This window comes from Homo sapiens, chromosome 1 (assembly GCF_000001405.40).
Source record: "Homo sapiens chromosome 1, GRCh38.p14 Primary Assembly".
NCBI classification, from domain to species: domain Eukaryota; kingdom Metazoa; phylum Chordata; class Mammalia; order Primates; family Hominidae; genus Homo; species Homo sapiens.
Genome location: NC_000001.11, coordinates 8280276 through 8305618, shown reverse-complemented (window position 1 = coordinate 8305618; position 25343 = coordinate 8280276). Strand labels below are relative to the sequence as shown.

At 44.7% G+C, this 25343-nt stretch overlaps 1 long non-coding RNA gene and 1 pseudogene across 1 annotated transcript in view, besides 1 other annotated feature; one reads left to right on the top strand and one right to left on the bottom strand.

The window, feature by feature from the left end:
* Positions 1-9169: 9169 nt before the first annotated feature.
* The window catches only part of LINC03154 (long intergenic non-protein coding RNA 3154), a 37079-nt gene continuing 20905 nt past the window's right edge, over positions 9170-25343 (bottom strand). Inside the window, exon 2 of the long non-coding RNA XR_007065454.1 lies at positions 9170-11237. This is a non-coding gene — a long non-coding RNA (long intergenic non-protein coding RNA 3154). The remainder of the gene's footprint in view (positions 11238-25343) is intronic.
* On the top strand, positions 13356-13462 carry RNU6-991P (RNA, U6 small nuclear 991, pseudogene; annotated as a pseudogene).
* Positions 16793-17293: an enhancer, noted in NCBI's record as "H3K27ac hESC enhancer chr1:8348386-8348886 (GRCh37/hg19 assembly coordinates)". NCBI's record gives its function as "activates a minimal SCP1, AML or CMV promoter by ChIP-STARR-seq in primed H9 embryonic stem cells {active_cell/tissue: H9 hESC(primed)}" and the evidence as "EXISTENCE:reporter gene assay evidence [ECO:0000049][PMID:30033119]".

The window sequence follows — 25343 nt, the reverse complement described above, 5'->3', positions numbered from 1 at the left end:
GGCACGATCTCAGCTCACCACAACCTCCGCCTCCCAGGTTCAAGCAATTCTCCTGCCTCAGCCTCCCAAGTAGCTGGGATTACAGGCATGTACCACCACACCTGGCTAATTTTGTATTTTTATTAGAGATGGGGTTTCTCCATGTTGGTCAGGCTGGTCTCGAACTCCCGACCTCAAGTGATCCACCCACCTCGGCCTCTCAAAGTGCTGGGATTACAGACATGAGCCACTGTTCCCAGCCTTTTATAAATTTAATTTTATTTTATTTCTTTGAGACAGAGCCTTGCTCTGTTGCCCAGGCTGGAGTGCAGTGGTGTGATCTCAGCTCACTGCAACCTCTGCCTCCCAGGTTCAAGCAATTCTTCTGCCTCAGCCTCCCAAGCAGCTGGGACTACAGGCACATGCCGCCACACCTGGCTAATTTTTTGTATTTTAATACAGACGGGGTTTCACTGTGTCACCCAGGCTGGTCTCGAACTCCTGAGCTCAGCCAATCCACCTGCCTCGGCCTCCCAAAGTGCTGCGATTACAGGCGTGAGCCACCGTGCCCAGCCTTACTTAGATATCTTATAGGCACCTCAAATTTATCATGTCCAAAACCAAACCCTTGGCCAGGTGTGGTGGCTCATGCCTATAATTCCAGCACTTTAGGAGGCCAAGGCAGGAGAATTGCTTGAGGCCAGGAGCCTGGGCAACAAAGCAAAACCCCATCTCAAAAAAAAATAATAATAAGAAAGAAATGCTGGGCACTGTGGTGTGTGCCTGCAATCCCAGTTACTTGGGAGGCTGAGAAAAAAATTAAAAGAACAAAACCAAACCCTCGACTTTCTCCCTCACATTTGCTCCTTCCTTAGTTAATCACCAAATGAAACTTAGAAGATACTTAAGAACCCACAAGGCTGGGCGCTGTGGCTCATGCCTGTAATCTCAGCACTTTGGGAGGCTGAGGCGGGCAGATCACTTGAGGTCAAGAGTTCGAGACTATCCTGGCCAACATGGTAAAACCCCATCTCTACTAAAAATACAACAATTAGCTGGGCATGGTGGTGCATGCCTGTAATCCCAGCTACTCAGGAGGCTGAAGCAGGAGAATTGCTTGAACCCAGGAGGCAGAGGTTGCAGTGAGCCGAGATCACGCCACTGCACTCCAGCCTGGCAAGCGAGCTAGACTCCGTCTCAAAAAAAAAACAAACAAAAAAATTAGCCTGGTATGGTGGCACATGCTTGTAATCCCAGCTACTTGGGAGTCTGAGGCAGGAGAATCGCTTGAACTCGGGAGGCAGAGTTTGCAGTGAGCCGAGATCGCAACATTGCATTCCAGCCTGGGCAACAGCACCAGACTCCCTCTCAAAAACAAACAAACAAACAAACAAAAACCCCACAGAAATGTGAGGTATACGTATTGCTCACTTCTGCATGTGTATCCATAAGTCAGAAGGTGATCCTTCCTCCACTGCACGGATACACTAATACTTCCTAAATATCTGCTTGAGGATATTCCATGGCCATTTCCCACATCACAAAGCATCCACTGTCTGCCTGATTTTCTGCGGCTTCCATCACCTGCCTCCCTCTGTCCACTCAGGTTCATTTCTCTCCCTGACTTGAACAATCCACTCCCATAAATCTCGACCCATCCTTGTCTGTGAATATATTATACACTATACTCTTTCTTGCTTCTGCACCCTTTCTGATGATTATTCAAACCCTACCAATTCTGTTTGTTTGTTTGTTTGTTTGTTTGTTTGTTTGTTTGAAACAATCTTGCTCTGTCGCCTAGGCTGGAGTGCAGTGGCGCGATCTTGGCTCACTGCAATCTCTGCCTCTCAGGATCAAGTGATTCTCGTGCCTCAGCCTCCCGAGTATCTGCAACTACAGGCTCGCGCCACCATGCCTGGCTAATTTTTTGTATTGTTAGTAGAGACGGGGTTTCACTATGTTGGCCAGGCTGGTCACAAACTCCTGACCTCAGGTGATCCGCCCGCCTCGGCCTCTCAAAGTGCTGGGATTACAGGTGTGAGCCATGGCGCCCAGCCTCTGAGGCTTATTTCTGAGGCTTTCCCCTTTTTCTTTAAATCAAAGCATTCCGCATGCCCATGTGCCATATTTCAGGGTATCGGGGTTTCCTGAGCCCAACACCATCTCTGTTCCCTTCCATGACTGATTATAGGATTCCAAGTATGATCATTTCAACAGCTGTGGGATTGGAAGGAGGTAAAAACAGAGCTCTGATTCCTGCATGTGGCATTCAGTGGGGTGGTTTTCCCTGAGGGAAAGCTTTCCAGTTTAGATCATGGGTCAAACAAGGACTTAGTTATCAAATATGGCTCAACACAAAGGCATGCATAAATGTTGGTTTTAACTTTGTATCTCAAAGCTTAGGGGAAAAAGAGCTCCATGTTTTTGGGTCTATATATGCAAAGAAATGGTCTGGAATGGTCCACACTGAACCCTGATAGTGTATTGGCGTGGGACAGGTGACAATAACCTTTTAAATTGGGCGCTTCGTTGCTTTTCTTGGGGGGTGGTTGTTTTGCAATGGGCATGTGCTACTTTCAGAATAAAAAAAAGTGAAACAGCAAAACGAAAAAAAGCACAGTCCTTTAAAATAAAATATTCAACACAAGAGCTCAATAGTCTATGTAATGAGTGGTGAAGCACAGCATGAAAATCTCTTGGATTATTGCATTCGCAAATTACTGGAATGTTTTCAAACACGGAGTTGTGATGGAGAACCGAAACCCAAGTCTTCTCCTGACTAAAGAAGGATGTCTGAGGTAATTATGAGCTTGAAAGGATCCTATTACATCGTTTTTGTTGTCCAAGAAGGGGCTCCCTCAATAATTTATAGGGCTGTAGAAAGGAGAGATTTCTGGGCTGTAGAAATGAAAGATGTCTGGGTGACTCTAGGCCCTTATTTCTACATCCGTGCATTTTAAAGCATTGTTTCCTGACTCCTAAGTTTCCCAACAACGTCATTTAGGTTCTTTTTGAACTTAAACGGAACAGAAGTCAGAACTCCCGGCGTTACTCACTGTGGCATTGTATCCACACTCAAGAGTTTGAATGGAAAGAACTTTGCCTTCATTTAAACTTGACCAACAAGGGCGAGCTGGGGACCCTCCCACCTCCACAAATCTCCACTCTGCCCTCCCACCGTGATGTTCCTTCTGTCCCTACGCCCTTTGGTGTTAATGACACTGCTTTATTTTCTCCTCCGATGAATCCGCCTCTTACAGCGCATTCATCTCCTCCCTCACTTTTCGGCTTCACTCGGGCTCGGTATTTCAGCGGCCAACAGACAGACACCTCATTCTTTACCGAACTTGAATTGGGACTATTTTTCTGTTTCTTGGAAACCTCTCTCAAGAGCTCCATAATCCTTTCTCTGATGAAACAGTTGCTCCTGCTGAGTGAAATTCCGCTTAGGACCCCAACACAGCCTACGTTGTTCTCTCTCCCAAAGAGATTTTTTTTTACTTCATTTAACTTGTTTTTCAACTAAGCTGCATGGATCAGACACATCTATTCAGCAGCCACCTGGTCAGCAGCAGTTGTCTCTTTCATATAAAATTAGGTTCTTTACTCGAGGGCCTACATTTTGGAAGCAGCCAACCCAAAAACCTTGAGGTTTTCCTCTGGCCAGCTACAGGATATTGATGAATCCCCCTAGCTACAGGGTATTGATGAATCCCAGCCAGGTATAGGATATTGATGAATCCCAACCAGCTATAAAATATTGACGAATCCCAGCCAGCTACAGGATATTGATAAATCCTACCCAGCTTTGGGTACTGATGAATCCCCCCCAGCTACAGGATATTGATGAATCCCACCCAGCTACAGGATATTGATGAATCCCGCCCAGCTACAGGATATTGATGAATCCCGCCCAGCTACAGGATATTGATGAATCCTACTCAGCTATAGGTTATTGATGAATCCCTCCCAGCTACAAGATATTGATGAATCCCACCCAGCTATACGTTACTGATGAATCCCACCCAGCTGCAGGATATTGATGAATCCCGCCCGGCTACAGGATATTGATTAATCCCACCCAGCTACAGGATATTGATGAATCCCACCCAGCTACAGGATATTGATGAATCCCAGCCAGCTATAGGATATTGACGAATCCCAGCCAGCTATAGGTTATTGATGAATCCCGACCAGCTACAGGATATTGATGAATCCCACCCAGCTACAGGATATTGATTAATCCCACCCAGCTACAGGATATTGGTGAATCCCACCCAGCTATAGGTTATTGATGAATCCCACCCAGCTACAGGATATTGATGAATCCCGCCCAGCTACAGGATATTGATGAATCCCACTCAGCTATAGGTTATTGATGAATCCCTTCCAGCTACAGGATATTGATGAATCCCGCCCAGCTACAGGATATCGATTAATCCCACCCAGCTACAGGATATTGATTAATCCTGCCCAGCTACAGGATAAAATGACTCCCACCCAGCTACAGGATATTGATAACTCCTGCCCAACTTGTGACAAGTTCCATGTCTCCCACTGGCCAGGATCTTCCATGCTGCAAATTTCACCAAGTGAGACTGGGCTGCTTCATGTTGCTTTCTCTAAGAAGTACCATTGCAGGAGTTTGTAAAACAATTTGCTGGCTTCTTTTCAGACAGAGAAAATGCCAGGGCTGGTGAGAGAGGCCTTTGAAAGTGGTAAGGACTTTTGTTAAACACCATGAGGAACTGAGGTGGAGTTATCATTTAGGGCAGAAGAGCAGAGAGGATTCTTTGTTACCAAAACAATTGCAATTGTCATCTCCAGGTAATTCTAGAGGTGTGATTAGTCTTCAGATGCTCTGCTCATTTATTATAAGACTTCTCTCTTGTAAAAACAAATAGTGTTCAAAGAGTTTGGTAAAAAGTTGAGAACATAAAGTTGCTGGTCATATTTTTCAGTAAGTCTAATACATCATATTTAACATTTTAAATTGCTTTTTAAAATTACTTCCAGATCTATTTTTGACCATATTTCAATCAAGATTAAGGGCTTTGGGGCTTGCAGACAGTTTCCCTCATGGATTACAAAGTCCCAAATGAGAAGGCTCTACAAAGTGATGTAATAATGTAACCTCAACACTCCAAAAACAAGGAGATGGGGGCCTGGAGAGATGAAGTAACTTGCCCAAGGTCACTCAGCTGCTCAACATTAGGGCCAGCAAAAGATCTGAGTTTCCTTCTTCTTCCAGAACAGTGTATTTGTTCCATCACACAAAAGAGTCTCAGTTTCTCAACCCAAACAGCCCCACTGCCCCTTCATTCTCCTAGTGGTATTCACAAGTAATATAATGTTCCTATGCAAATAAATTTCAATCACTTGGCATAATGTCCTAATTGTCTTAGAAAGAAGAAATAAAACAAGGCTATTTACTTAACCAGGAAGGTCCTGCATCACAGACTGCTCCCTTCCCTATGAATATCTGGGCGTGGGTAGGACAGGTCTCGCCCTCTGAGGCTCCCAAACCCACTACATCTGCCCTAAACTCACCTCTCCAGGGGATAAGCAGAGCTCAGAGGATTGTGTGTGTTTCCAATATTTCTCTGCTTAAAAGTTTCTTTCAGGCCAGGTGCAGTGGCTCACGCCTATAATCCCAGCACTTTCGGAGGCGGAGATGGGCAGATCACTTGATGTCAGGAGTTTGAGACGACTTTGGCCAATATAGTGAAACCCTGTCTCTACTAAAAATACAAAAATTAGCTGGGTGTGGTGGCTCACGCCTGTAGTCCCAACTACTTGGGAGGCTGAGGCAGGAGAATCGCTTGAACCCGGGAGGTGGAGGTTTCAGTGAGCCAAGGTTGTGCCACTGTACTCCAGCCTGGGCAACAAAAGCGAGACTCTGTCTCAAAAAAAAAAAAAAAATTATTTCAATAAGCCCTGTGCATTTTTACCATGGGGTGCTGGCAAGGAATGCCTCCTCTGCGCAACACTACCCTGAACACTCCCCAAAGGGCAGTGGCACTTCTTGGAAGAGTGCAGGGCACCATACCTGCAGCTGTATTTTTCTCCTAAAACTGGATGGGTCTCTAAATGCATAATTACTAGGACCAAGTTTACTATCCCAGTGAATTGACTTCTGCATTCTGACCTCAGGATTAACATCCACCCATTTTAGTGTGACCACATTTTATCTCCAACTTTCATTCTCTCCTATGTAAGTACCGCAGCTCCTGGTTCTTTATACACTATACAAATATTTTACTGGCTGGGTGTGGTGGCTCACACCTGTAATCCCAACACTTTGGGAGGCCGAGGCAGGCAGATCACCTGAAGTCAGGAGTTCGAGACCAGCCTAGCCAACATGGTGAAACCCCGTTTCTACTAAAAATACAAAAATCAGCTGGGTGTGGTTGCGGGCACCTGTAATCCCAGCTACTCTGGAGGCTGAGGCAGGAGAATAGCTTGAACCCAGGAGACGGCGGTTGCAGTGAGCTGAGATCGTGCCACTGCACTCCAGCCTGGGCAACAGAGCAAGATTCTATCTCAAAAAAAAAAAAATATATATATATATATATATATATATATATATAGCTAAACAATAATCTGTGTAGTGGTTTATGCAAATCTCTTGTTACATTTGCCACCACTCATTTCCTCTATAAACTATGCTTGGAGATAAAACAGTGAGCTCTTGGCCTCAAAAATGTGCCAACTCTGTAACGTAATTCAAATGATTGGGCAGACCAAAAGATACTATTCTCACACTCTTCCTCCTGAATCATTTTAAAAGAATATATTCATCTTACACTCAGGCCCCTCTTGAAGGCCTGTGTGGGCTCTGTTTATCATGCCAACCCAGTTTTGTTTTTGTTTTTGTTTTGAGACGGAGTCTCTATCTTGTTGTCCAGGCTGGAGTACAGTGGCACAACCTCGGCTCACTAAAACCTCCGCCTTCCAGGTTCAAGCGATTCTCCTGCCTCAGCTTCCCAAGTATCTGGGATTACAGGTGCCTGCCACCACGCCCGGCTAATTTTTGTATTTTTAGTAGAGACGGGGTTTCACTATGTTGGCCAAGCCGGTCTTGAACTCCTGACCTCAGGCGATCCACCCACCTCGGCCTCCCAAAGTGCTGGGATTGCAGGCGTGAGCCACCGCGTCGGCACCAGTTTTTATCATTTGTTCTCCATAGCTTCATCTCTGGTTGGCATCACAGCACAGAGAAGCAGGCCACTCTCTGGGACCAGGTTGAATCTCTCCAAGGAACAAAGGCTGCTACTGCAAGGGTGTTTCTTAAGACAACCATAAGTTTTTATTCTGGGGACTTGTTCAGGTATTTAAAATAATTATTAAAATTTTTTAAACTTTAATTTTTTTGCTTTATACAATTTCCAACCTTTATAGGACAATTAATTGCCACACACTTTCTGCTTCTTTCAGGTGCTGGGAACTCCTTGGCAACACACGTTTCCCATCCCTTTACCACCAACACATTTTCACGTGCAGATGTTCCAATGACAACACTCCCATTAGTTTCTACTTGTGGGGGGCCAAACCTCTTGCCTGAGTCAGACTTAGAAATAAGCAACTATATAAGCAGAGAACTGACAAGAGGGAAATTTTTGTCCACTAAGGATTCATCTTGAGCAAAGTTACTTGTCTTACACAAAGAGGGTTGAGGCTAGGTGCAGTGGCCCACACCTGTAATCCCAGCACTTTGGGAGGCTAAGGCTGGTAGATTGTGTGAGCCCAGGAGTTCAAGACCAGCCTGGGAAACATAGTGAGACCCCTATCACTACAAAAAATACAAAAATTAGCCAGGCACCGTGGCGCACACCCGTAGTAGTCCCAGCTACTGGGAGGCTGAGGTGGGAGGATCACCTGAGCCTGGGAGGTTGAGGCTGCAGTGATCCATGATTGCACCACTGCACTCCAGCTTGGATGACAGAGTACGACCCTGTCTCAAAAAAAAAAAAAAAAAAAGTTGGTTTTATGAAGCTTTGTGAATCTCCTGATAGGCCTTAGTACAATTAAACACAATGAAGACAATTGCTTTCTACTTACACGGGGCCTGGGGATTGTTTCCCATTCACTACGCCATTTCTTCTTCCTGGGTGCACAGGAAGACTCCGTTTCCCAGTAGCCCTTGCTAGGGTGAGATCATGTGACTGAGTTCTTGCCAATATGGATGTGAGTGGAAGTGATGGTTGCTATCAGTTCAACGTGTTAGAGCAGGTGTGAGCTCTTCACACTTTTGCTCTCTCATCAGGGGCTGTTAGCAAATAACTTCCAGATGGCAGATCTGTGAGAGGGAAGCATACTGGATTCCTGAGTTGCTGCAGGAGGAGAGCCACCTGACCTCTGAACTCAAGGGAGCCACTTTTTGTGTTTGCCCCCTGAGCTTTGGGGATTACTTGTGCCCTTGGCCCACCCTGATTAACAGAACACACTTCTGCGATACTACATTCTCAGAGGGGTTACGGGACCTTAGATATCTGAGCCCTGCACTGTGTCCCTAGAGACCTCATTCTGGGCTGCGTCAATCTATTAATCAATAATCAAGGAGTATAATCATTCTTGGAAGCATCTCATTAATGTGGGAGATTAGGATGCATTTCTCATGAAGTTAAGAGCTCTCCTTTGAAACTCAATCAGTAAGTAGGTACCCAGTTCCCCTCTTTGGCCAGCTCACAGTGTCCATTTCAGACCCAAAAATGAATTCAAGGTGTCAGAGGCATTCAAACTAGAGCAACTCCATCTTGAACAGGAGCTGGGTAAAATAAGGCTGAGACCTACTGGGCTGCATTCCCAGGAGGTTAAGGCATCCTTAGTTACAGGATGAGATAGGAGGTTGGCACAAGATACAGGTCACAAAGACCTTCCTGATAAAATAGCATGTTGTAAAGAAGCTGGCCGAATCCCACCAAAACCAAGATGGTGACGAAAGTGATTTCTGGTCATCCTCACGGCTCATTATATATTAATTTTTGTGCATTAGCATGCTAAGAGACCCTCCCGCCAGCGCCATGACAGTTTACAAATGCCATGGCAATGTTAGGAAGTTACCCTTCATGGTCTAAAAAGGGGAGGAACCCTTAGTCCCAGGAAATGCCCACCTCTTTCCTGGAAAACTCATGAATAACCCACCCCTTGTTTAGCACATAACCAAGAAGTAACAGTAAGTACAAGTAGCTGAGCAGTCCACGAGCAGCCATTCTTTATTCCTTTACTTTCCTAATAAACTTGATTTCACTTTACTGTATGGACTCACCCCGAATTCTTTTTTGTGTGATATCCAAGAACCTTCTCTTGGGGTCTGGATTGGGACCCTTTTCTGGTAACAAAGGGAAGAGAATCAGAACGCTACCTCACTCCGAGTCGTGAACACGAGAAGAGCTTGCTATCTATCATGACTGATATTTTTTATCATGGTGTGAATAATTGGCCACTATTAGTCAAAACACTCCCCAAAAGCAAGAGGCTCTCAGCTGAGAATGCTCACCCCTTCTCCAAATGCACTAATCAGACAGCTCGCTCCTCAGCCTGTGGGGCCACCATGAGGCCCCTCCCAAAATACCCATCGCTGTTCTCCCTGAGGAGCCCCAGGGCTGCTGTAGATTTGTTCTCTATAAGACTCTGAAATGGGTAAAAATAATACTTATTAAAATAATTCCAAAAGCATTTTAAACCTTTGATTAAGAAAACAAGTGATTTTCTACATTCCCATGATAACTATTTCAATATTATTATATGTAATATATTATTTCAATATAGCTGATCAGAGTCCTTGCACTGACATTAAATGACAACACAGAGACACATGGGCTTGATGGCGGGCACCTGTAATCCCAGCTACTTGGGAGACTGAGGCAGGAGAATCGCTTGAACCCAGGAAGCAGAGGTTGCAGTGAGCCGAGACAGTGCCACTGCACTCCAGCCTGGGCAACAAGAGTAGGACTCTGTCTAAAAAAAAAAAAAAAAAGAAAGAAAGTTCCTAGAAGCAGGACCATGCAGGGCAGGTGCCAGGGTGTTCGTGGAAGGGGCTGTTGGGGGAGAACCTTCTTGCACTCTGTGGCACCGGGGTGCCCAGCAGTCTCTGCTATCTGCCCAGCATCCAAGGCCTGTGGCCTTCAACTCATTTTGGAGAGGCTTCCCAGCAGCAGCTGTGCCTGACGGTACTTGGGTGGAGTCTCCACCTCTGAATTCTGTCACCTTTTCAGAAAGTGACAGTTTTGAACAGTTTTGCCTTTTTGTAAAGTGTAGGCAATTATAATGGTGATACCAACATACACAGTTTGAGCGGCCCCTCTCTCCCTCTCTCCCAAGCTCCATGATGAACATTTCTAGGCCCTTTGTGGGCCTCCTCACCACACTCAATGGAGGAGGGCAAGCTGGGGTTCATCTTGCCAGGCTCAGCTCAGTTCCCCTCCTTGGGGTCTGCCCTGGCTCTGCTCTCTTCAGGTTCCTACCCACAGCTCAATTATTCAGCCTCACAGAACAGGTCTTCTTTCTCCTCTCTGCTTTCCTGGGTAGACCATGGGCTCCTGGGACATAAGAAGTGAATCTTGTGTACGTTGGTGTCTCTGGGACCCAGAGCAGAGTTAGATGTGGAGTTGAACAAATAGCCTTGAACCGATCTAATGCTTTTATTTTTTTGTCCAAGATTCCTTGCTCCAAGAAGCTGTTGTAAGTAAGGAGCCAGGTTCCCTCTGTCCCGCTGCGCCCTGGCTAACTCGTGGAATTCTCCTCTCCATCATCACTGGTTTGTGACCTGGGTTGGTCAAATCCATCCCGTCTGCCCTAATGGCGGTCTCCACACTCTGTGCAAAGATAAGGTTCTCATACAAGGTCTTTCTAGAAGGGGACAGTGCTCGGGAACATTTGCTTCAGAGGTAACGTGTTAGGAGGAAAGTAAGGAAACCGAGTACGACAGAATGAAAGCAAGCTGACCTGCCTCTGGGAATGCTGACTTCTTGAACTTCATGCCTTCCCACTTGACAGGGTTGGTCCCTGAAGGAGGCACTAGCAAGCACTCCTAGAATGAGATCTCATCTTCGAGTGGTCAGAATTCCAGCACAGCGCCAAGAAAACACAGCTCCAGCTCCCCCACTTTTTATAAACAAATTTGTAAACGGCCCTCATCTTAGGGGTGATGTTGCCAGCCCAACCCAGACTTTCCGACTCATTTCGAAACGACGTCGCTGCCAACTTTCCAGCTTAAAAAGAGGGAAACTTCATAAAAGGCTCCATTTCCATTTGGCCTGTGGGGGAGGATGGAATACATGGTGAGTCGGAAGCTATGAACAAAACAAGTTTATAAAAATTCCAAATAAAGAGGCGCCTCCAGTGAAATTAGCCAGACGAAAGTTGACAAAGCTGACGGCCCTGCGTGGGCTGCGGTAATGGGGCGACGTGGGAGGAGGGCTCTGCTGAGACGGCAGGAGAAACGTGGGGAGACACACGCAGGAGGGGACAGCTCTCAGCATCTCCAAAGAACAGATCATCCAAGTGAATGATTTAAGGATTTAAATGAGAGAGTCAAGCTTTTTTTTTTTTGAGACAGGGTCCCACTCTGTTGCTCACTCTGTTGCCCAGGTTGGAGCACAGTGGTGCGATCATGACTCACTGCAGCCTTGACCTCCTGGACTCAAGCAATCCTCCTGCCTTGACCTCCTGAGTAGCTGAGACTACAGGCAGGTGCCATCATGCCCAGCTAATTTTTGTATTTTTTGTAGAGATGAGGTCTGGCAATGTTGCCCAGGCTGGTCTCAAACTCCTGGCTTCAAGCGATCCTCCCACCTTAGCCTCCCAAAGTGTTGGGATTACAGGCATGAGTCACTGCGCCTGACCAAAAGTCAAACATTTTAAGCGCTAGATAGGACCTCAGCACATCATCTTCTCCACTCTCCTGCCTCCCAGAAACTTAGAACAATGGCAAGAAAGTAGATGCAAAGGAGTCATTTCTATTTTTATTTCTATTTTATCTTGTATATTATTAGAATTGTGGTCTTTTTTTCTAAAGCTCTGTTAAAAGAAAAAAAAACCTTCTGAGTTAATTACATAATGTTTAGAGAATATGGTATGTATGATATCAATTCCATGAAATTTACTGAGATTTCTTTACAGCCTAAAAATAGAGTCAATTTTTAGAAACATTCTACGTATGCTGGAAAAGAATGTGTAGTCTCCACTAGCTAAGCTCCAAATCCAGGACCCATGAAGAAGGTGTGGACCGGGGAGACTTGAGCGGGGAGGGGGGATGGGGGAAGCCTCACTGGCTGACATCAGTGTAGACTCTGGAGGGTGGGGGTGCCAGGAATGAAGGCGCGGCTGATGCAGAAGTACAAAGTAGGCCTGTGTGAGTGGCACCTCCCAGCACACGTGAATTTTATTACCTTTCTTACATTAAGTGTTGAGGACTTCCAACTTCTTGTAATAAGTGTGTGAAACTTCTCTTCCAAGTTCCATCCCAAAGGAGGCAAAGAGTCAGGAATATGGCAATATCAACATGAGGTTTAGTTGTGATCAAGTGAATTGGAGAACACACCTCAGATTTGTGGCCAAATAAGTTCCCTCTCAGGTTAGAAGTATCCCCCAGTCCCAGGCAGGGTTGGACATCTAAAGCCCAATTAGGATGTAAGTCCAGGATCTCCTGATTCAAAGTAAGAGGTAGAGGCCGGGCGTGGTGGCTCACACCTATAATCCCAGCACTGTGGGAGGCCGAGGCAGGTGGATCACTTGAGGTCAGGGGTTGGAGACCAGCCTGGCCAACATGGCGAAACCCCATCTGTGCTAAAAATACAAAAATTAGCCTGCTATGGTGGCTCATGCCTGTAATCCCAGCTACTTGGGAGGCTGAGGCAGGAGAATTGCTTGAACCCGGGAGGTGGAGGTTGCAGTGAGCGGAGATCATGCCATTGCACTGCAGCAGCCTGGGTGACAGAGAGAGACGCTGTCTCAAAAAAAAAAAAAAAAAGAAGCCAGGCTCGGTGGCTCACACCTGTAATCCCAGCACTTTGGGAGGCCAAGAGGGGAGGATCACAAGGCCAAAAGATGGAGACCAACCTGGTTAACACGGTGAAACCCCACCTCTACTAAAAATACAAAAAAATTAGCCATGCATGGTGGCATGTGCCTGTAGTCCCATCTACTCAGGAGGCTGAGGCAGGAAAATTGCTGGAACCCAGGAGGCAGAGGTTGCAGTGAGCCGAGATGGCGCCACTGCACTCCAGCCTGGGCAACAGAGTAAGACTCCGTCTCAAACCCCCCGCTCCGCCACCCCATGTACTTACTGCATACTGTGCATCCTTTCCAAGCACATAAAACACATATAGAACATTTATAAAAACTGACCAATTATTAGGCCATAAAGAATCTCAGTGCTTGCTTTTGCAGCTTGTATTCTAAAATTGGAACGAAACAGAGATGGTTACCCTGGCTCCTGTGCAAGGATGACCAGCGGGTTCATGAAACGTTTCATGCCTTGCACAGTCACAGAAGATAATTTCAGTATCCGCTGACCAGCGCTAAAGAAACAGTGTGAGTCAAAGCAAAATGGGTGGCGTCTAATATTGAAATTGTGATTTTCACTACAGAAAATATCTTAGTAAATTGCATGGAACTGATATAACTTACACTTTATACTGTGCACACAGTGTAATCACTGTAGAAGTTATTTTTCATGCAGATTTTAAAAACTTCCACAACCGTAAAAATATACAAGAAGAAATCTAAAAATTATGGAATATCTAAAATTGAGTAACAAAAACATCTCAAAGCTTTTTGCAGCTAAGTTGCTACTTTTAGGTAAGTTTATTGTTTTAAATGCATATATTACAAAGAAAGAATTGTTGGAAGTCTAATAAAAGAGATAATTCTCTTGCAAAAGTTATGAAGAGAAAAAGAGAAGGCATTAATAACAACATTAAGAATCAGGCCGGATGCCGGAAGGGGTGGCTCACGCCTGTAATCCCAGCACTTTGAGAGGCCGAGGCAGGTGGATCATGATGTCAGGAGTTCAAGACCAGCCTGGCCAACATGGTGAAACCCCGTCTGTACTAAAAATACTAAAATTAGCCGGGCACGGTGGCAGGTGCCTGTAATGCCAGCTACTCGGGAGGCTGAGGCAGAAGAATTGCTTGAACCCGGGCAGCAGAGGCTGCAGCGAGCCAAGATCACGCCATTCCACTCTAGCCTGGGTGATAGAGTGAGACTCCGTCTCAAAAAAAAAAAAAAAGAAAAAAAAAGAATCAGGCCAGTCGCAGTGGCTCACACCTGTAACCCCAGTAATCCCAGCACTTTGGGATGCTAAGGCAGGCGGATCACTTGAGGTCAGGAGTTCGAGACCAGCCCGGCCAACATGGAGAAACCCCATCTCTACTAAAAATATAAAAATTAGCCAGTCATGGTGGCGCGCACCTGTGGTCCTAGCTACTCGAAAGGCTGAGGCATGAGAATTGCTTGAACCCCGGAGGTGGAGGTTGCAGTGAGCCGAGATCACGCCATTGCACTCCAGCCTTGGTAACAGAGCAAGACCCTGTCTCAAAAAAGAAAAAAGAATCGAAGCGCTCACAGGTGCATGTAAAAATACTAAAAATCAAATTGTATTATGAAAAATAATATGCCAGAAAATTTCAAAGTTAGATAAACTGACAATTTTCTACAAGCATATGAGTTAGTAAAACTCAAGAAGAAATATAAAGTGTGGACCTCTTAGTAGTAATGAAAGAGATTGAAGGAGTGATGAAAGACGTACCCCATCCCCCAGCATCACCAAAAGCATCAGGCTCAAATGGATTTATGGGCAAGTTTTACCAACATTTTAGAAACAGATCATTGACATTTTATATAAATTGTGCCAGAGAACAAGAAAAGAGGCTGGACGTGGTGGCTCATGCCTGTAATCCCAGCACTTTGGGAGGCCAAGGTGGGCGGATCACAAGGTCAGGAGTTCAAGACCAGCCTGGCCAGTATGATGAAACCTCATCTCTACTAAAAATACAAAAAATTAGCCAGGCATTATGGCAGGCACCTGTAGTCCCAGCTACGCGGGAGGCTGAGGCAGGAGAATCACTTGAACCCAGGAGGTAGAGGTTGCAGTGAGCCGAGATCACACCACTGCACTCCAGCCTGGGTGACAGAGTGAGACTATCTCAAAAAAAAAAAAAAAAAAAAAAGAACCTTGATACTGAAACAAGGCCAAGATAATATTATAAAAAAAGTAGTATAGGTTAGTCGTGTATGTAAGTGAATAAGCCAAAACCATAAATAAAATACTAGGAAACTGATATAACAGTGTCTTGAAAATATCCAAGGAATACAAGAATTTTTTTTCCAAAATTTTAAATGTAGATGTAAGTCACATAGTATAAAACTCACCCTTTCTTTTTTTGAGACAGAATCTCACTCTGTCGCCCAGGCTGGAGTGTAGTGGCATGATCTCCGCTCACTGCAACCTCCGCCCCCTGGATTCAAGAGATTCTCCTGCCTCAGCCTCCCGAAGTAGCTGGGATTACAGGCACCTGCCACTGCGCCCAGCTAATTTTTGTATTTTTAGTAGATACGGGGTTTCACCATGTTGGCCAGTCTGGTCTTGAACTCCTGACCTCGTGATCCACCCGCCTCAGTCTTCCAAAGTGCTGGGATTACAGGCATGAACCACCACACCTGGCCAAAACTCGATGTTTTAACAACTGGGCGAGGTGGCTCATGCCTGTAATCCCAGCACTTTGGGAGGCCGAAGCAGGCAGATCACTTGGGGCCAAGAGTTCGAGACCCGCCTGGCCAACATGGTGAAACCCCATCTCTACTAAATACTAAAAAAATTAGCTGGGCATGGTGGCATATGTCTGTAATCCCAGCTACTTGGGAGGCTGAGGCACGAGAGTCACTTGAGCTCAGGAGCCCAGGATGTGGAGGTTGCAGTGAACGAAGATCACGCCATTGCTCTCCAGCCTGGGTGATAGAGGGAAACTCTGTCTCAAAAAAAAAAAAAAAGAAAGAAAGAAAGAAAGAAAAGTTCATCTCAATATGTGCAGAAAAAGTCAATAAAATCCATTTACGATGAATACCTCCACAAATTAGTAATACAAGGGAACTTCCCTAATAATTCCTTAATGTTATAAAGGGTATATAAAAGAATCCTATAGTAAATATTGTAGGTCCTAGTCAATGCAGTCAGTGGAGAAAAACAAAGATAAGAAGATTCATATCTGTATTTTGCTTTAAAAACAGAAGGCAATCATTATTCATAGACCTCATGATGGGTTGGGAAGAAAAAACTTTTAAATATACTGATAAAATATTTGAATTAATAAGTGAATTTACCAAGATTACCAAATACAAAGTCAGTGTATAAAAATTATATTTCTAAATCCAGTTACAAATACAAAATGAAATCTAAAGATAAAATATCATTATAATAGTTTCTTTTCTTTTCTTTTCTTTTTTTTTTTTTTTGAGACAGGGTCTTACTCACTCTGTCACCCAGGCTGGAGTGCTGTGGTGTGATCTCAGCTCACTGGAACCTCTGCTTTCCAGGCTTAAGTGATCCTCTCATCTCAGCCTCCTGAGTAGCTGGGACTACAGGCACGCACCACCATGCCTGGATAATTTTTGTGTTTTATTGTAGAGACTGGGTTTTGCCATGTTGCTAAGGCTGGTCTTGATCTCCCGAGCTCGAGCAATCCTGCTTCGGGCTCCCGAAGTGCTGGGATTACAGGCATGAGTCACTGCGCCCAGCCTATAATAGTTTCAAAGAAAATAAAAAACAGAGTAGGCTGGGCCCAGTGGGCTCACACCTGTTATCCCAACACTTCATGAGGTGGAGGCAGATGGATGGCCTGAGGCCAGGAGTTCGAAAGCAGCCTGGCCAACATGGTGTAACCCTGTCTCTACTAAAAATACAAAAATCAGCCTGGTGTGGTGGTGCACGCCTGTAATCCCAGCTACTCAGGAGGCTGAGGCAGGAGAATCACTTGAACCCAGGAGGCGGAGTTTTTAGTGAGCCGAGATCACGCCACTGCACTCCAGCCTGGGCGACAGAGTGAGACTATGTCTCAAAAGAAAAAAACAAAAACCAAACAAACCAAAAAACATATAATAAATCTGAGAAAATATTTTTAAAGATTTCTACATAGAAAACTACAAAACATTGAGATTAATTAAAGTAGGTCTAAATCAATGTTTATAGTTTGAATACTCAATTTTATAAAGATGCCAGTTCTTCCCAAATTGATCTACAGATTCAACTTGATCCCAATACAAAACTCAATAAGACTGAGTGTCTGGGTAAGTTGAAAAACAGATTTTTCAAGATCACGCCATTGCACTCCAGCCTGGGCGGCAAGAGTGAAACTCCATCTCAAAAAAAAAAAAAAAAGAAAAACAGATTTAATAACGTACATGGAAATGCAAAGATCTAAGAATATCCAAGATCATCATGGAGAGAAGAGGTCAGAGTTGGAGGACTCACTCTCTCAGATATTGAGACGTCTGAATTGTTTCTACTCTTTTGCTATTACACACAGTGATGTACTAAACTGCTTTTGTATATATCTTTTGAGCATTTTTGCAATGTATCTTTGGGATAGAGTCTTAAGAGCGTGCTTCAGCATCTTGTCATATGGTTAAAAGTCATCGCATTTTTATTTTGTAAATGATGGGTTCATATCTCTGGTGCATTCTTCTATGGAGATATTCCCCATTTTTTTTAGGCGCTCTTTGTATATTAGGTACTAAGTTGAAGCCTATGAAATTGCCATTTTGTTAGGTCAAAAATGGTCAAATATCAGCAATTTCAAATGGCTTAACCTAAAATATAGATACTTTTGTAAATGTTTTTCTCGCTTTGTTTTTTTACTTAGCATGTTTTTTTTTGAGACAGAGCCTCACTCTATCGCCCAGGCTGGAGTGCAGTGGCAAAATCTCGGCTCACTGCAACCTCCGCCTCCTGGGTTCAAGGAATCTTCCTGCCTCAGCTTGCCGAGTAGCTGGGACTACAGGCGCACACTGCCACGCACAGCTAATTTTTGTATTTTTAGTAGACATGCGGTTTCACCATGTTGGCCAGGCTGGTCTTGAACTCCTGACCTCAGGTGATCACCCATCTCGGCCTTTCAGAGTGCTGAGATTACACGTAAGAGCCACCACGCCCGGCCAAATTTTATATTTTTATGTAAACGTATTTATCAATCTTTTTCCTTGTTGTTTCTGGAAATTGAGTCATAGGAAAGTTTCTTTATTTGTAGGTTATACAGTAATTTCTCCATGTTTTCCTTATTTTACATCTAAATATGTGATCCATTTGGACTTTATTCTGTTGTATGGTATAAGAATGGGCTCAATGCGTCCAGGTGCGGCGGCTCACATCTGTAATTCCAGCACTTTGGGAGGCCGAGTCGGACGGATCACGAGGTCAAGAGATCGAGACCATTCTGGCCAACATGGTGAAACCCCATCTCTACTAAAAATACAAAAATTAGCTGGGTGTGGTGGCGGGCGCCTGTAACCCTGGTTACTCCGGAGGCTGAGGCAGGAGAATAGCTTGAACCTGGGAGGCAGAGGTTGTAGTGAGCCAATATCGCACCACTGCACTCCAGCCTGGCAACAGAGTGAGACGCCGTCTCAAAAAAAAAAAAAAAGAATGGACTCAATTTTGTATTTCTTTGTAGCCTTCTGGGTATCTTAATACCATGTATTAAAATTTTCCCACTGGTTTGAGATGTCAACTTAATTGTATATTGAATTTCTATGTTCAGTTGGGTCTATTTCTGGATTTCCTATTCTGTTTGATTTGTGTGTCCATATATGCACATATCAATACCATACTGGGGTTTTTTGTTTGTTGTTGTTTTGAGACAGCGTCTCCTTCTGTTGCCCAGGCTGGAGTGCAGTGGCACGATCAGGGCTCACTGAAGCCTCCATCTCCCAGGCTAAAGCAATCCTCCCACCTCAGCTTCCCAAGTAGCTGGGACTACAGACATGCACCACCACTCCTTGCTAATTTTTTTTAAATTTTAGTAGAGACAAGGACTCACTATGTTGCCTAGAATGATCTTGAACTTCTGAGCTCAAGTGATCCTCCTACCTCGGCCTCCCAAAGTGCTGAGATTGGAGGCATGAGCCACGTGCCCAGCCCATATAGATTTCACTACAGAGGCGCTATAGTGGGCTAGCCAACCCCCAAGTATTTCATTTGTTTTTTGGGATGGAATTTTCCTGACAATTCTTTGCTCTTTACTTCTTCTAAAGGACTTTTATGATCAACTTGTCCAGTTGCAGAAAAAACAATTTGATATTCTTGTTGGGACTGTGCTATCATTAACAGGGAGCATTACACTTTCTATTTCTTCTCTAGTTAGTTTTGACAAGTTTAAATTTTTTCTATGATTTTACCCATTTAACCTACGTTTTCATGTTTACTGGCCTAAAGTTTTTATCATCTTCTCTTACTATAAATATTTTACATTTTTGCTGACTTTGTACTTTTGTCTTTTTCTCATTCTTAGTCTTATTTATGTTTTTATAAATAATCTTTTTTCTTTGAGCAATCTTTCCAGAGGGTTGTCCATTTTCTTTGAATTTTCAAAGGAGTAAACTTTTGTCCTCTCTTGTATGTCTGTTTTCTATTTTGTGTTGGGTATTTAACTCACTCGTTTTTATTTTTAAATTTTTACTGATACAAGCATTAAATATTATAATTTTCCTGTAAGTTTTAGCTTTCCATCACACACATTTTGATGTGTTGTGTTTTCATCCTTCTTTTTTTTTCTAATTTTTTTTTTTTTGAGACGGAGTCTCACTCTGTTGCTCAGGCTGGAGTACGATGGCGTGATTTTGGCTCACTGCAACCTCCACCTCCCAGGTTCAAGCGATTCTCCTGCCTCAGCCTCCTGAGTAGCTGAGATTACAGGTGCCTGCCACCATGCCCGGCTAATTTTTGTGTTTTTAGTAGAGACGGGGTTTCACCATGTTGGTCAGGCTGGTCTCAAACCCCTAACCTCATGATCTGCCTGCCTCAGCCTCCCAAAGTGCTGGGATTACAGGTGTGAGCCACCATGCCCAACCTCATCCTTATTTTCAAGACATTCTGAACTTCGTTTTATATTTCTTTATTGACTTAAGAGTTATTAGAGGCTTTTAAATTTCCAGGTGAAAGGTCTTTTTGCCTTTTCATTTGTCATTAATCTCTAGTTTTATTATATTACAGCCATTTCACACACGAGGCTGAGAAAGACTCAGAGAGGTTAAGCGAGTTGCCCAGGAACACATATTTAGTAATGACTGGGGCTGGACTGGAAACCTCAAAGTCCATCTTCCTTCCACTGCCCCACCCTGCCCTGCATGGTTCATAGGTAGATATGCTATTTAATCATTCCGGGCAAAATTCCAGCGGGTGTTATTATGAGACAGTGAAGCATAATTGATGAGCTCATTATGAAATATTAAAATTTAATTTTTGTGGGTAGGAAATTAAAGTGTTGTTAGAAGTAGCAATTAAGTGGATTTTTTCTTAAAGTGACTCTCTGTCTAGGCAGAGCCTAGAAAGGCTGCTGAAGGCAGAGTAGATGGGGGTGTAAGCCCAGCAAGCAGAAGTCAGGGTGGGAGATATGGTCATAAAAGCCAGTACAAAGATTGTTACTGAATTGGCCAGGCGGATCCGTTTGCCAGGACCCTCAGAGAAACCTTATGAAAATAGTCTCAGAACTGTTCTCCTGGGGAAAGATGGCAAAACAGTGTATCTACTAGCTCCTGTCCACCACTAGTCAAAGGTAGACCCTGGGCTATATCTCCCCACAACTCTAGGCTGGGCAGGAGTTGACACTGATTGATCTGTACCCCTGCATGGCTTGAGACAGGTGTGGCTCTCCCTGGGCAAAGCTGGTGGAAGTTGGCTCAGAACAGTTAAGAGAGTAGACAGAGGCCAGGTGCAATGGCTCACACCTGTAATCCCAGCACTTTGGGAGGCCGAGGCGGGAGGATCACTTGAGGTCAGGAGTTCAAGACGAGCCTGGCCAACATGGTGAAACCCCGTCTCTACTAAAAACACAAAAATTAGCTGGGTGTGGTGGCGCACGCCTGTAATCCCAGCTACCTGGGAGGCTGAGGCAGGAGAATTGCTTGAACTCGGGAGTCAGAGGTTGTAGTGAGCCAAGATTGTGCCACTGCACTCCAGCCTGGGTGACAGAGCAAGACTCCATCTCCAAAAAAGAAAAAAAATCTGCATCTATCTCTATGGTATTTGTGACTCATGTGTACTGTTAATGCAGCCAGTGAAATACACAGCGTCTGGCAAATAGATTAACTCACACTCCACTGATACTCATTTTCCATTCCCTGCTCGGAGACTTGATGCAGTTCACTTAATTCTCCCCAAGAAATGAATGGCTGGGGTCACTGCATCCATAGTAAAATGGTGAATGTCATATTTTTCCCCCGACACAAATATCCTACACTGCTGTGGCACTGTGATGGAATTCTAAGTTACTACATAAATGCACGGTGCTATTATCATCAATAAATGGCCCAGCTGAGGACAAAAGACAGGGCAGAGCTGGGGAGTAAACTGCTCATGTGCGTCTCCTGGGGACGCCTTGCAGGGGTGCCCAGTCGCCATGTAGGGATGCCCAGGAGCACCTGCTGCCACTGGAGTATGTGGACAATCATTCTCCAGCTTGGTCTAAATTTAAATAGCATATGTTCTACCGGGCTTCAAAAGGCAACATTTTTGTTGTTGCTGTTCTAAGCCTTTCTGGGAAAACCCACATGCTGCAAAATACAGGCTTAAATTCATGAAGATATTCAGACTTCAGAATACATTTTACAAGCAGGTGAAAATTTTCCTCTCCCTTACTAATCTCCCTGTGGAAAATTACCAAAGACCTCAGTGGGGACCTAATTGAAGGAAAAAGTCGTTGTCATCATTAAAGTTATTGCCGTGACTGTAATAATCACTTCTTCAGAACCCGGTTCTATGTGGAAACTAAATGAGTAAACAAGTTGCCCATGAGGGAAAGGAAACCCTTCCAGCTGTACATGACATGTAGTTGATGAACTTGGTTCAATCTGGGAGGAGAAAGGCCGGTGGAAGATAGCGCCCCTGACTCCAATCCTACCACCAGTTACCCGTTAGCCTCTCCTGGAGATGGCTGAAACAGCATAAACAACCTCCAAACACCCGGCCACTGCAGCCAGCTGTTCTAGAACTGAAAGGACACCAGTTCCTCTTTAAGTCTCCGGGTGACACTCATTGACTCATATGTGTCATAGTTAATATGAATAAGACTTTCCTGGATTAACTTAGATATAACTAAATTGCCCAGTGAGGAGAAGCAATTTTCATTTACAGAAAACTATTACTGACTATAAAACTCTTTACCCGTGACGCTCACTAATTACTGATGACCCAAGGCTGGTGACCATGTCCTTCCCGGGCTGCCCCCACACAGCAGGGGCCCAGCCTCTTCCTCCTCCACTGCATGGAACGAGCAAGCTGCCTGCTGCTCATCTCGCCATGTCTTTCTGAAACCAATAAAACCTATCTGTTTTTGTTCTGCATTCGTGAATGATGCTTGCTGTTCAGAAAAGTGCATGCGTTGGTTGACAAAGTCTAACGAATAAAAAATGTCAGTGTGACTTCATGGAAATGTTGGTTCTCATCAGTCCTTTTCCCCAGATCTATTATTGCAAACACAAAGCGTTTTCTTCTACCGCACTCTGGGAGACTTACTGAAATAATTGTGTCATCGCTCCAGTGAAAGCATCCTCATTTCTGTCCTCATAGGGACTTTGGAGAAACTCAGTTGTCTACTTTCTCAAAACTTTTACTTGAATTGCTTTGCATCCCTAACTGAAATCTTCCAGCCCCCAAGGTCAGGGCTATGATATACCATGGTAACCAACTTCACCTGCCCCTCAATCCTGCCAAGCTTTGGTGAGATTCCCAGGGTGGCGTCCCACCACCAGCAAGTAGGTTCCTGATCACCCCTCTTAGCAAGGACTGTTTCAAACTGTCCCCCTTCTCAGACACCAAGCCACTCCCCCTCCCACTCAATCACAGCAGAAGACTCGGATTCCTATCTTACACAGAAAATGGCTGTTACTGGTGGCTGCCAGACCTGCAAACCTCCTGCTATTTTCCATTCTTTCCTGCTTCCCGCCTTCGTCCTGTCCAAGGCCAAGGTCTCCGTCTGTGCCCTACAGTGCCCACCTTCTCTGAGATCTCCCTCTAGTACAATCTCTTACTGTTGGGACCTCAGCGTCTCTCTTGACCACTCCCTCTGCCCCTCTGCCCGCTCCGCTCCTCCAGCTTCCTCCCAGCTCGGCAGAGCTGTCTGTGGCAGCCACTGCTGCTGGTTCCCTGTCATCCAGTTCCCTTTTTTCTTTTGGAATTGAAGCCCCCTGGGTTTGACTGGCCACGCACTGGTGACTACAAGGCCAGCCTCTCTCACTGGCCAGTGTGAGAGGTCCCACACTGGCCAGTGTGGACCTGAGCTCCCAGGACGCTTCTGAAAAGACACTGCTTGTCCTTGACCCCTTTCCCTTTCTGAGGACTGCAGCATGGACATGAGCAAGTGCACTGCCTTTGACCATGCAGAGGAAGACAGCACCCTGGGCGCAGCAGAGCCACGTGGAGGAGGCGGGCTGCAGGCTGACCTCACACAACAGAGCCACTCACCCCACAGCCCCACCTAATGTCTGCTTGGGCTTTTATGTGCAGGAAAAATAAACCTTCTGTCTTGTCTAAGTCACCGTCATCTGATCTATGTGAAAGCAGCCCAACAAATACGTTAATAAGATATTTTCTGATGGGAATGTAAATTAGTATAGCCATTATGGAAAATAGTGTGGAGGTTCGTCAAAAAAATAAAAATGGAACTACCACATGCTCTGCATTAGTCCATTCTCACACTGGGTAATTTATAAAGAAATTACCCACCCACCTGAGACTGGGTAATTTACAAAGAAAAGAAGTTTAATTGACTCACAGTTCCACATGGCTGGGGAGTCCTCAGGAAACTTACAATCATGGTGGAAGGCACCTCTTTACAAGGTGGAAGGAGGGAGAATGAGAGATGAGCAAAGGGGAAAAGCCCCTTGTGAAACCATCATATCTCGTGAGAACTCACTATCACAAGAATGGCATGGAGGTAACCGCCCCCATGATTCAATTACTCCCACTGGGTCCCTCCCATGACACGTGGGGATTATGGGAACTACAATTCAAGATGAGATTTGGGTGGGGACACAGCCAAACCATGTCATGCTCTAATTCCGCTACTGGGTGTATATCTGAAGGAAAGGAAATCAAATCAGTCTGCTGAAGAGACATTTGTATTCCCACGTCCATTGCAGCACTATTCACAATAACCAAGATATGGAGCCCACCTCAATGCCCATCAGTAGATGAATGGGTAAAGAAAATGTGGCATTTATATATGGAATACTATTCAGCCCTAAAAAAGAAGAGAATCCTGTCATTTACAACATGGATGAACCTGGAGGACACTATGTTAAGTCAAATAAGCCAGGCACAGATAGATAAAGAATGCGTGATCTCACTCATATGTGGAATCTAAAATAGTTGGACTCATAGAAGCAGAGAGTAGAATGGTAGTTACCAGGAGCTGCCGGGATGGTTGGGGAAAAGTTGGTCCCAAGGATACAAAATTTCATTCCAGGTAGAGTGGTGCTTGCCTGTAGTCCCAGCTACTAGAGAGGTTAAGATGGAACGATGGCTTGAAGCCTAGGAGTTCCAGACCAGCCTGTGCAACATAGTGAGATGCTGTCTTAAAATAAAGAAATAAATAAAATGGAAAAGACAAGACAATTTTTAAAGAAGAATACAAAATTTCAGTTAAGATAAATAAGTTCAGGAGATCTACTATACAACAAGGTGACTGTAGTTAATAACATTTTTTTTTTTTGAGACAAAATCTCACTCTGTCTACCAAGTAGCTAGGACTATAGGCATGTACCACCACCACTAGCTATCTTTTTTTTTTTTTTTTTAAATTGAGACAGAGTCTCACTCTGTCACCCAGGCTGGAGTGCAGTGGTGTGATCTCAGCTCACTGCAACCCCCACCTCCTGGGTTCAAGCAATTCTCTGCCCCAGCCTCTCGAGTAGCTGGGATTACAGACACCTGCCACCACGCCTGGCTAATTTTTGTATTTTTTTTCTTTAGTAGAGATGGGGTTTCACCATCTTGGCCAGGCTGGTCTTGAACTCCTGACCTCGTGATCCATGCACCAGTCCTCCCAAAGTGCTGGGATTGCAGGCGTGAGCCACCGTGCTCAACCTAATTTTTGTATTTTTAGTAGAGACGGGGTTTCATGATGTTGGTCAGGCTGGTCTCAAACTCCTGG